The sequence below is a fragment of the Homo sapiens genome, chromosome 1, assembly GCF_000001405.40.
Source record: "Homo sapiens chromosome 1, GRCh38.p14 Primary Assembly".
In the NCBI taxonomy this organism is placed as follows: domain Eukaryota; kingdom Metazoa; phylum Chordata; class Mammalia; order Primates; family Hominidae; genus Homo; species Homo sapiens.
The window spans coordinates 240,006,719-240,020,123 of NC_000001.11; the positions used below are offsets into that span (position 1 = coordinate 240,006,719).

Below are 13,405 nucleotides of genomic sequence, written 5' to 3' on the forward strand. Positions count from 1 at the left end.
CCGGGTGTGGTGGCTTATGCCTGTAATCCCAGCACTTGGGGAGGCTAAGGTGGGCAGATCACTTGAGGCCAGGAGTTCAAGACCAGCCTGACCAACATGGTGAAATCCTGTCTCTGCTAAAAATACAAAATTAGCCGGGCGTGGTGGCGCATGCCTGTAATCCCAGCTACTCGGGAGGCTGAGGCAGGAGAATTGCTTAAACCCGGGAGGTGGAGGTTGCAGTGAGCCAAGATCGTGCCGTTGCACTCCATCCTGGGCAACAAGAGCAAAACTCCATCTCAAAAAAAAAAAAAAAAAAAAAGAATTATTATCAACAGTTTAAAATTTTGTTGACAGCAAACTTCAGTAAGATATTTTAACTCACTGATTTTTTAACATACAGAAAGTAAACCAAAGTCGTTTACTCACTTTTATTTTTAATTTACTAAAATTTGATTTTTTATACTTTAGAAAACTGAAATTGTTATCAGGATCAATTAAGTTTTATGTAAGTCATTTGTCCACATAATTTACTGACTATATATTCTCTCTTTTTAAGTTTTTTTGGAATCATTCTTTCTACCTTTTCATGTGCCCGGGGTCAAATAATACATGTCAAAATGTTTTTTAAGTATTTTTTTCTTTCATCAGTTCTTTGTCAGTGATAAATTTTACCATGTGGAGTTTTCAACCATTATTAGTTGTATTTTGTGTGGACTGTTTTTGCTGTAATACTCACAATAGAGGTCAAGGTGTTCCGGGGGCCATGGTGAGGTCAAAGCATTCCACTTCGTTCATTTACAGAGCTTCAATTGTGACCCGGTTTAGGAACATGCTGCTTGCCCAAAATTCTCCACAATCCTCCACCTCCGCTCTTCCATTTAGGATATAAAAGAGGGTTTTCTCAGACCTTCTGCCAATGCGCAGACAGATGAAAGACGACACAGAGGTTCTCATCATTCTGCTGAGGAACTGAAAGCGGGTTTCCCACTCCAATGTCTTAGTTTGGAATCACGGCTTTTGTCCCCTCTCCGAGAATGAATAATCACCAAGAAAAGAGAGGCCGTGGTAGGTGAAGGAATGCCCAATTCAGCCGAAAAGAAGTCAATCCCTCCTGCCTCCTTCAGCTTGGAGTTTAGGGTAGGGAGAGAGCTTTGTTCGTGTACACGCGGTTTTCATTCTTGTCTCTTTCTTCGAAACAGAGACTCAGTTTTATTAGGAAAACAATTTGCCAAACAAACTAAAAGGCTATTATTCCTAACTTCTCCTGCAGCTAAGAGGGACCAGACAAAGTTCAAGCTGATGAGCTGTGAGCAGAAGGACTGAGAGGGTCTTTGGGGAGGGTGCTTAGGTGGAACTGACACAGCTGTGCGGCCCCTTTGTCCTTCTTTCCTCCTCCTTTCCCTCTGAAAAGCAGTCACCGTGGGCCCTGAGACAGCCTTCAGGATGGAAACCAGCTATGAAGATGCTGGGGCAGAAAGATTCATGCTGGCTGACTGCCTTGGGGGGCCATCCAGGAGCAGCAGGGAGCCCACCTCCAGAGCTCCTTTATTGGAGAAAGAAATAACTCTTTCTCTCTCTTCTCTGTGGTGCTGTTATTCTGGGTTTTCTGCTATGTGTAGGCAAAACTAATCCTAACCAAGATACCAGCTTTTCATTGAATCTGTGTGTGAACTTGAACCAGACGATTTTTTCTCTGGAACTTATTTCCTCTACACAAGAGGCAGGGGTGTGGGTGCTTTGTGTAATTCTGAAGATCCGGAGCTTTTTCCTGGCCCACATCCATGTTCACTTCTAATTGTTATAGTGCCTACATTACCATTTAGGGAACTAGCCACTCCCTGCAATTCCATATGGTTAAGTGAGGCTAATACCACTTTCTGGCTGCAGGGGACAGGACAGGTGGGAACAGATGTTGGAGGAACCATTGGTGCCTTGAGCATGTTCTGTGCAGGGGGTCTCCCGTGTTTGCCCTGTCTGCATCCCACGTGGGCCCCGTGTGTGTGAGCATTGACAGTAGGCACAGCTGCTCGGGAAAGGGTCCACCTGTGTCTTCCCCAGGAAGACAGTCCCAACTGGACCTTGATTCACCATCCTGCCTGACCATCCCCTGTGGAACTGTTAGCTCTCAGCATCCACACATACACACACACGCACACGCACACGCACGCTGACATCACAGATGGAGACCATGGGGGTGGGGTAAGAGAAGTGTCGGTGGGAAGAGGAGACCTATAGGCTGCACACAGGAATTTAGGCATGAGCCAAGTTAGAGGTTTTCCCAGGGATGTCCCTTGGAGGGCAGGGTGGAAGGAGAGACTGGTCCTGTATGTGTTCTGCTCACCTGCCTCCCCCTGCACCATCTCCTCCATGCTGGGCACCTGGATGGATCATTACGCCAGTGATTTCTATCAGCCCCCACAGTTGCCCCCTCTCGAGGTGCTGGGGCCTATCTGCAGCTCAACATGCCTGCCCGGACCTGCAGCACCGTGTCCACCTACTCCTGGCCCAGCTGGAGCACCCAGAGTCCACTGAGGCAGGGTCTGAGGGTGAGGAGGCCTGGAGGTAGGTGCAGGTGAGCGTGTAGGGAGGGGATAGGGCTGGACCACACAGAGCAGAGCTGCCAGAAGCTGGGGAGGGGACACAGCATTGATAAACTCAACCCAATTATGTGGTAGACTGCAGTCTAGGAAGACGTCCTGGGAGTGGGACATTGACTGGGCATCTCTGAAAGGCAGAGGGAAGGTTTTGTCATTGGAAGGCACGTGGAATGTCAGTCATGTTGATGTTTACTCTGAAGTGGGGAGGGGAGCAGCCCGACCCCTGAGACCTGGCTGGACATCACTGTTGAGGTTGCAGCCAGATTTCTCAGCACGATGCTCTCCACACCTTCTGTACATCCTGGGGTTCCCTTACCTGCATCCCCTCCCTGAGTCCCCTCCCTGATTAGAAGACTGCAAATGACCCTGTGGGCTACTGTCTGCACACCCCCCTACCCAATGACCCTCCATAGATGTACAGAATTTCACTAACCCTGCCTCCCTACAGGCCCTGTGGAAGGCCTGGGTGCAGCCAGGGTCCCACCTTGGAATAGACAGATGTAGGTTCAGACCCAGCTCCTCCTTCTTACCACTTATGTGACTCTGGGCAAAGCCACTGTGCCTCTCAGGGTCTCCCTGAGCCTCCTCTCCTGCACAATGGAGATCATCCTGGCATCGACTCCCTAGGGATGTCATCAGGCATGTGTGAGATAACACTTAGGAAACCTGTGGGCTGGTATCACATGTAGGTAATGGACAAATTAGACATGAAATGCATGAAGGGATGGTAGGAATTATCATGGAACACAACTAAAAAGAGGCCTGGTTTCCTGCCATGTGATCTTTGAAATGTCCCATTCCTCCTGGCCTCATTTCCCTGTGTGTACTATTAGAGGGCTGAAATTTAGTAAATTCTGATATTGTCATCCTCATCAGCGCTTGTGACGGTTAAATGTTTGTTTACATTCAGACCCGAGTGCCACGTCTCAGCCTATGTGGTAGGAGCCACCTCAATGGCTCCAAGAGGTTCCCCCACCTCCTGGTGTACACATCCTTGTGTCATGTCCTCCCCTGGAGTATGGACTGACTTAGTGACTCACTTCTAACCAATAGAATATAGCAGAAGGGATGAGATGTCACTTCCAAGATTCAGTTATAAAATGTCCATGACTAGTATCTTGCTCTTTCTCTCCTCTGTTCTCCTTTTCTTTCTCTGTGTTGTCCTCTCTCTGTCTCTCCCTCTCTCAGATCCCTGACTCTGGGGAATCAGCTGCTGTGTTATGAGCTGCCCTATGGAGAGGCTCATGTGTCCTAGGATATAGAGAGGGAAATGGACAGAGGGGAGCTCAGGCCATCAGTCCTAACTGAATCCTTCCAGTAACTATATGAGTGGGCTTAGCATTGGATCCAGCCCCACTCGAGCCTCAGTTGAGACCACAGCCCCAGCCTCCTGAGAGATACCATGGCAGAAGCACCCAGATAAGTCCTGCTGGATTCCTGGGCCCCAGAAACAGGAAGATCTACGTGTTTGTTGCAAGCCTCTAAGATTGGGATAATGCTTTCATACAGCTGTAGATTACTAATGCAGGGCCATCCAGAATCCACCCCTGCCTTTAGCCTCCCTCCCCTCCTCTACTTGCAAGCTCTCTCCAGCCACGCTGGCCCTCTTTCTACCTCCTCTCTGGCCAAACTCACTTTTTCCTGGACTTTTTGGCCATTGATCCTTCCCCTGGCACACTGGTCTCGGACTTTCACAGGGCCGGTCCCAATTATCCTTCTCAGTATAAATTTCACCTCAGTGAGGCCTTTTCAGACCTACCTCCCACTCTTGAAGTGATCTTCATCTCCCCTTCGTAGCACTGTGCTTTATTTCAATATTATGCTCGCACTTTTCCTCTATTTTAATGATTCCGTCCCTCCTCCTCCCCTCCAGACTGTGAGCTCCTGGAGGACAAGGGCCATGTCATTCATTCACTGAGAGACCCAGACCATACTTAGCCCTGGAACAAGATAAGTGCTTGGGACCTAGTTACTGAATGAGTAAATGAGAGGATCTCAAGCCCCTTGTCCCAACTTTCCTCCATCTGACCAGCTCACACTGTGGAGATGAATGCTCACAACAGGAAGTGAGGTCTGGTTGGTGGCAAGAAAATGGCCAGAATGACCCCTGGGTGGCTCCTCCCTGGCTCCAGTTGCTCCAGCAGAGCACTGTGGGCACAGCCTCCCTGGTGGCCAGTGCTAGCCCTGCACCTAAGGGAGAAAAACCATGAGCAGAACACCTTTGTTGAATGACTTCAAGGCATCAGCTCTCTCAGGTCCTAGCAGGGCAAAGGAGCAACACCCATGAGATCCGGAGTCATTGATGGGAGCCTTAGGACATTTTCTTGTTCCTTTACTGCCAGCACTGGTACTGGGGTCCAGTTCACTCATGAGGCCACATCACTACAGTCAGGTCAATGACTCTGCCTCAGCTTCCAAATGAAGCTCTCGAGGCTCGAACAGGTGGTCTTTGTCTTTGTTCAAGGATGACACACGGTCCTCCACCACATTCTTCTGTCCCCCAAGTCTCAGTCCTCCAAGCTCACACACCTGTCTCTCCTGCCAGCCCTTTAGACCTGATTATATTCCCACAGCATCTCCCAGCCCGGACCTACCTGGTCCTAGGTATTTTCCAGAATCAGCCTCCTGCTTTGCCTTCTCTGTTTACTTAGTCTCCATGATTGTCCTAATATGTGTTACTTCACTCTAAGTCTCAGGGGACACCTCTGATATTGAGCTTTTTTTTGGTGGGGGGGACGGAGTCTTGCACTGTCGCCCAGGCTGGAGTACAGTGGTGTGATCTCAGCTCACTGCAACCTCCGACTCCCAGGTTCCAGTAACTCTCCTGCCTCAGCCTCCCGAGTAGTTGGGATTACAGGCATGTGCCACCATGTCCGGTTAATTTTTGTATTATTAGTAGAGACGGGGTTTCACCATATTGGCCAGGCTGGTCTTGAACTCCTGACCTCAGGTGATCCACTGCCTCGGCCTCCCAAAGTGCTGGGATTACAGGTGTGAGCCACCGCACCCAGCCTGATAATGCTTTTGGTAACCCATTGGCCCTCCCTTTTCTGGCCAATCTGCCATCATCTGCTCTTGGTTCTGTGCACAGCCTTGACTGCAGTCACCTGCAACTCCGGGTAACAAACCTTCCCAGCATGCTAACTCTGGGGGACCCACACTAACCAAGGTAGCCCCTGTACACCCCATCATCCCCACATGGGACAGGGTTTTAGATATCTAAAAATGTATAGGGAAGAAAAGGGGTCTCACCCTATCTTAGCTAGAAAATGATTATGAATTCCTGACAAATTGGTTTTAAAACGTGGTTTCACTTTTCCTAAGGTGGCACTCAGCAAGGAGAAGGCCATGTTTAGTCGAGCACCAGGATCATGAAGCCCAAGAGCGAGAAGCCAGACAAGTTCAAGTCCGGTATCTCCCAGGCTCTTCTGGAGCTGGAGATTAACTCACACCTCAAGGTTCAGTTCAGGGAGCTGAATATTACAGCAGCCAAGGAAACTGAAGATGGTGGTGGTGGGAAAGCTATCATAATTTTTGTTCCCTTTCCTCAACTGAAATCTTTCCAGAAAATCCAAGTCTGGCTAGTACGTGAATTGGAGAAAAAGTTTGGGGGAAGCATGTTGTCTTTATTGCTCAGAGGAGAATTCTGCCTAAGCCAACCCGAAAAAGCTGTACAAAAAATAAGCAAAAGCATCCCAGGAGCCGTACCCTGAAAGCCATGCATGACTCAATCCCCGAGGACTTGGTCTTCCCAAGTGAAATTGTGGGCAAGAGAATCCACGTGAAACTGGATGGCAGCCGTCTCATAAAGGCTCATTTGGACAAAGCGCAGCAAAACAATGTGGAACGCAACGTTGAAACTTTTTCTGGTGTCTACATGAAGCTCACAGGCAAGGATATAAATGTTGAATTCCCAGAGTTTCAACTCTAAACAAAAATGACTAAATAAAGTGTATTCACAGTAAAAAAAAAAAAAAAAATGTGGCTTATCCTGCTTGGTGGAATAAGAAAAGTTGGCAGCAAAAAATATAATCTGCAAAATTCTGATACAAACAACAAAGAATCATTTCAACAATATGACCATATAGATGCTTCTCTTTTATGTGTGTGACTATCACTTAAAATATGGAATTTAAGGTAAAGCTAACTCTGCTTTTTAGGGATGGCTGGAATAAGGACATTCTGTTGTTTACTTTTTTTTTCTTTTTTTTTGAGACGGAGTCTCGCTCTTGTTGCCCAGGCTGGGGTGCAGTGGCACAACCTTGGCTCACGTGATTCTCCTGCTTCAGGCTCTGGAATAGCTGGGATTACAGGCATGCACTACCATGCCCAGCTAATTTTTGTATTTTTAATAGAGACGGGGTTTCACCATGTTGACCAGGCTTGCCTCAAACCCCTGACCTCAGGTGATCTGCCTGCTTCAGCCTCCCAAAGTTCTGAGATTACAAGCGTGAGCCACCATGCCCAGCCTTGTTTGCTTTTCAAAATGCTTTCTAACCTGAAAGGAACCTTAGAAAGCAAGTGGTCAAATCCTCACCTTTCACAGGTGAGGCAGCTAAGGCCCAAAGAAAGGTTGTGTCTTGCCTAATGTCACCAATCCCTTCACCTATCTTGCAAAATGGACATTATCTTATTCTTCTTGCTATCTTCAGATTCCAAGCTGGTGCTTTTTATATACAGTAGTAGGTGCTCAATTAATCTAATTTAGAAGAACTGAACTTTATTTAACACTGTTAACAATGTCTTGAGATTTTCTTACTACTCGTTGTAGGTTCACCTTTGTTTCTGGTGACCCATGGCAAAATAATATTTATTGAGCACAGTAATTTGAAATAAACAAGGCTCCTTTCCTGACACTAAGCAGGGAGGAATTATGCTGACAATTCTGATTAGCTTTCTGTATCCTCTCTGAGAAACAGCACTCTAAAACCATCTTAGCTGGGCTCAGAACAGCCCAGACTGTAATATTATTTACCAGTTAATTGGAGGCAGGAAGCCAGCTCTGCTGCCCAACACACACACCAGCAGAGACTTCAGAAGACCTTTATCCATCGCCAGAATGGCTGAACCCAGGCGCTTTCTACGGCTCTCTTTCCTCTTGGTCAGCTCCAAGTATGAGATTTATGAACGTTGAAGAGGTTCCCAGTGCTGTTAAAAGGTAGGTCTTCCAGAATATTAGTTTCCGTGGAACTAAAGCTTAATGACAGGACTTCATTTACAAAACAATAATTATATGGAGCAAAAAAACCACACTGATATGGCTGTAACTTAATGGTGTTGTTTTTGTTAAACACTTAATTTTAAAGTAAGATGGTCTCAAACAAATATGTTTTTCTGAAAAATGAGCATGTTGGTGAATTTGACCTTTTCTCTGATGATGCTCTAAAGATCTGATCTTCTGGAAGAACAGAAATAAAAGATATCAACAAATCACCAAAAGGATTGTATGATAATTGTGAAAATTGCTATTATCCAATTTTGCTAGAGTCTCTTTAAAAATGGAGTTAATAGTGGCCTTTCACAGTTTCTAATTCTTGGGTTTAAAACTGAGAAGACTGTGTTCTTTTTTTAGCTGTGTGCCCTGTGAAAATACTGTTTATTGCATGACATGTGAAAAAACAGCTGTATTCAGAAAATTAGGATCATATCTCAAAAGGCAAACAAATTAGTACCTTTCTTAACCAAAGTTATCTGCATCACCAAATGCAGAAAATAATTTGAGTCTTGGCTCTCCGTAAAATAGTAGAAAACTAGAACCATTCTAGACCATAGATGCCTTCATCTATTAGGGCTTAATTCTATCCTAGAGCCCCAGGTCGGGCTGATAGAAGTTTTTTTGTTTGTTTGTTTGTTTGTTTCTTTTGTCTCATAAAGTTAAGAATAAAATTGGCTTGCAATTTACGATTAAACTTTTGTGATTATATTTCATGGGTGGGGGTACATCTGTAAGTTTTCTTGGTAGCAGTTTTAGGATTTTTCTCTAAGGGGCACGTGATACACAAGAGCTTGTGGTGGGTAGCTCACGCTGCCTTCAGATTGACTTTGCGTCTTGTCAAGCCTTGCAGGCACTAATTCACCTAACACTAAGTTTCTATTCCTCAATCAAAAATATAAGCATCAGGCCAGACATAATGGCTCATGCCTGAACTCCCTGCACTTTGGGAGGCTGAGTGCTTGAGCCTAGGAGTTCAAGATCAGCCTGCGCAACATAGCAAGACCCTCTTCTCTTATTATATTATAAATATAAAAATATTTTTTCAAATAACTCTGACTCCTGAAGCAATTTAATGGATTTAATTTTACAGAAGGTAGATTTTTAACTTCTTTATTCTAATAAAAGACAAAAAAAAGCATTTGGAGGCTTAATGCAAATTATTTTTTGCTACTAAAGTGAAAGCAGACCTAGTACATCTAGGTGTATAATTTCACCAACTAACAACTAAATATTATCTCCAAAATAGATATTTTTTAAAAAATCAGAATGCCAGATCCCCCATTTTAACAACTTTATTGAAATATAATTTACATTCTATGTAATTCCCAGTTTAAATTGTGCTATTCATTGGCTTTAGTGCATTCACAGTTATGCAACCAACACCACAATCAGTTCTGAAACATTTTTATCAACCCCAAAAGAATCCTCATACCTATTATCAGTTACTTCCCAACCTCTTACTCCTGGCCCTAGGCAAACAATAATTTATTTTCTGACTCTCTAGATTTACCTTCTCTGGAGATATTCCATAATGGAATTATACAGTGTATAGTCTTTGTGATTGATTTATTTCACTTGGCATAATGTTTTCAAGGTTTGTCAATATTATAACATGGATCAGCACTTCCTTTTTGTTTCTGAGTAGTATTCCATTGTATGAATATTGGCACATTCTATTTATTCACACATGTGTTGATGGACATTTCCATTATTTTCACTTTTTGGTGATTATAAATAATGCTACTTTGAACATTTATGTCTAAGTTTTGATATGAACATCTGTTTTTATTTTTCTTGTGTATGTCTAAGGGTGGAATTGCCCTTAGATATAGGGCAATTAACAATTAACACCCTTGTGTTATAATTGCCCTATATCCATGGCAGTTAAATTGTCGTATATCCCAGGGCAATTAAATTCTATACACCTAGAAGTACTAGGTCTGATTTTGCATTAGTACCAAAAAAATTTTCATTAAGCCTCCAAATGTTATTTTTCTTTCATTGGAATAAATTTTTCAGTTTGATTGCCCTTAGATGTAGGGCAATTATAATACAGAGGTGTTATATGGTAATAGTATGCTTAACATTTTAAAGAATGGTCAAATTGTGTTCCAAAACAGTAGAGCCCTGTCAATGTAAAAGTTGAATTTTCGACAAGAGACTTCCTTTGTGACAGAGCTCCCAGGAGAGCCATTCCACACCTACTTTAGCCCATCCAGATACATCTCATAAGGATTCAAAAATTTGCATCATTACATTTCTGAAATTACATTCTTATGCAAAAAAGATAACACTTTCTCTCTTCTCTCATGTACCTATAAATTTCATCATATAAAATTAAATGCAAAGTTAAAACTTAAATATGTCTACTTTTAAATCATGGCAATTAAAAAGTAATTCCTTGTGCTTTCAAATTTTTTAATTAAGTCGAAAGGTCATCCATTGGTGCACATTTTTAAAAATTTTTTATGGTCTTTTTTAATTTCTTGTGTCTTTAGTGTCATATTTAAAAATCACTACCAAATCCAATGTTCTGAATCATTTGCTTATGTTTTTGTCTAAGAGTTTTCTAGTTTCATGTCTTACATTTAGGTCTTTGTTACATTTTGAGGTAATTTTTGAATATGGTGTTAGGTAAGGGTTCAGCTTCATTCTTTTGCATATGGATGTATAATTTTCCCACCACCATTTGTTGAAAAGACTGTCCTTTCTCCATAGAATGGTCTTGGCACCCTTGTCATAAATGATTTTACCATGTATGTGAGGATTTATTTCTGATCTCTCTAGTTTATTCTATTGGTCTCTATGTCTGTCTTTAAGACAGTACAACACTGTTTTGATTACTGTGGCTTTGCAGTAAGTTTTGGAATAAGAAAGTGTCAGTCTTCCAGCTTTGTTATTTTTCAAGATTGTTTTTGCTATTCCAGGTCTCTTGAGATTGCATATAAATTTTAAAATGAGGGTTTTTTTATTTCTGCAAACAATGTCATTGGAACTTTTATAGGGAATACATTGATCTATAGATCACCTTGTGTGGTATTAACATGTTAACAATATTAAGTCCTCCAATCTGTGAACATGGGATGTGGTTCCATTTATTCATGTCTTCATTAATTTCTTTCAGCAGTATTTTATAGTTTTCATTATACTAGTCTGTCATCTTCTTGGTTAAATTAATTCCTAAGTATTTTATTATGTTTGATGCTATTATAAGTGGAATTGTTTTCATAATTTCCTTTTTTAATTGTTCATTATTAGTGTATAAAATGCAGCTGATTTTTTTATTTGTCACTTTGTATCCTATTTGCTGAATTCATTTATTAGTTCTAACAACTGTGTGAAATCTTTAGGAATATAATATCTGGTCATCTGCAGAGATAATTTTACTTCTTCCTTTCTTATTTGAATGCCCCTTTTTTTTCTTGCCTAGGTTCTCTGAATATATCTTCTAGTACTATGTTCATTAGAATTGGTGAAAGTGGACATCCTTGTCTTGTTCCCAATCCTAGAGAAAAACTTTTAGTCTTTCACCATTGAATATGATGTTTGCTGGGGTTTTTTTCATATGTGGCTTTTGTTATTTTGAGGTAATTTCCTTCTATTCGTAGTTTGTTAAGTGTTATTACCATGAATCGGTTTTGAATTTTGTTAAATGCCTTTTCTGCATCCATTGAGATGATTATATGTTTTTTCCTTCATTCTGTTAATGTAATGTATTACATTGATTGATATTCATATGTTGAACCATCCTTGCCTTCCAAGAATTCATTCTACTTGGCCATAGTGTATAATCTTTTTAGTATGCTGCTGAATTTGGTTTGTTAGTAATTTTTTTAGTATTTTTGCATCAATGTGCATAAGAGCTACTGGTCTGTAGTTTTGTTTTCTCATAGTGTCTTTGGTTTTGGTATCAGGACTCTGATGAGTTAGGAGGTGTTCCCTTCTCTTCAAGTTTTTAGAAAAGTTTGGTAAAAATTGTTGGTAGTTCTTTAAATATTTGATAGAATTTACCAGTGAAACTATCAGGTCCATGGCTTTTCTTAATTGGAAAATTTTTGATTATTGATTTATTCCACTTACAAGTTATAGGTATATTCAGATTTTCTATTCCTTCATGATTTAGCCTTTAAAATGAAAATTCTGATATATGCTACAACATGGATGAAACTTGAGGACTTTATAAATGAAATAAGCCAGTTACAAAAGACAAATACTATGTGATTGCACTAATATGATGTACTCAGCATAGTCAAAATCATAGAGGCAGAAAGTAGAATGGTTGTTGCCAAGTGCCAAGGTTAAGGGAGTAATAGGAAGTTATTATTTAATGAGTGTAGGATTTCAGTTTTACAAGATAAAAAGGGTTCAGGAGATGGATGGTGGCGATAGTGACACATTATGAATGTATTTAATACCACTGAACTGTACACTTGAAAATGATTAAGATGGTAAACTTTACATTATGTGTGTTTTACCACAAATTTTTTAAATTGGAAAATAAATTAAAAGGACATTTTAATTCTCAGACAAGTCCAAAATGCTGCTAACTCTCTATCCTGCCAATATTTTTGAGGGCAATTTGAAGTGATTGGTCTCCTCACACTGTCCAAAGCTGTATGATTAACAGAGCTGGTGTTCACCATTTTTTTTTCTTTTTTGAGATGGAGTTGCACTCTTTTGCCCAGGCCGGAGTGCAATGGTGCTATCTTGGCTCACTGCAAGCTCCGCCTCCCGGGTTCACGCCATTCTTCTGCCTCAGCTTCCCAAGTAGCTGGGACTACAGGCGCCCGCCACCGCACCTGGCTAATTTTTTGTGTTTTTAGTAGAGACGGTGTTTCACTGTGTTAGCCAGGATGGTCTCGATCTCCTGACCTCGTGATCTGCCCACCTCAGCCTCCCAAAGTGCTGGGATTACAGGCATGAGCCACTGCACATGGCCTGTTCACCATTTTTTTCTCTGCCTTCTTACTCTTAATTTCTTAAATATTTCCACAGCTACTTTGATTCTCTCAACATATATATGAGGTTAAGATTTAGAATTTGAACTTCTTAGAAAGAATTTTAACAAAATTATTTGCTACTTAGGAATTAAGTATGTAAAATATATATGTTCATGTGTACTTTATTTGGCAATTTTAAAATATTGTGGTGGACTGGATAAAGAAAATGTGGTACATATACACCATGGAATACTATACAGCCATAAAAAGGAACAAAATTATGTCTTTGCAGCAACACAGATGGAGCTAGAGGCCTTTATTCTAAGTGAATTAATGCAGGAACAGAAAGCCAAATACTGCATGTTCTCATTTATAAGTGAGAGCTAAATATTAAGTACACATGGACACAAAAAAGGGAACAATAGACCCAGGCCTACCTTGAGGGTGGAGGGAAAATGAGGTTTGAAAAACTACCTGTCAGGTACTATTCCCACTAACTGGGTGACAAAATAATCTGTATACCAAACCCCCACAATACACAGTTTACCCACATAACAAATCTGCACATACACACCCTGAAAGTAAAATAAAAGTTGGAAAAAAATTATGATAGAATGAATGTAATGTAAAATTTACCATTTCAACCATTTTTAAGTGTATGGGTCAGCGAC

At 41.6% G+C, this 13,405-nt stretch overlaps 1 pseudogene across 1 annotated transcript; it reads left to right on the top strand.

Annotated features, from left to right (window-relative positions):
- The first annotated feature begins 805 nt into the window (after window positions 1–805).
- Window positions 806–6,542, top strand: RPS7P5 (ribosomal protein S7 pseudogene 5; annotated as a pseudogene). Its single transcript, NR_036695.2, has 2 exons — window positions 806–1,119; window positions 5,904–6,542. The product of NR_036695.2 is annotated as a ribosomal protein S7 pseudogene 5 (transcript).
- Window positions 6,543–13,405: the final 6,863 nt, after the last annotated feature.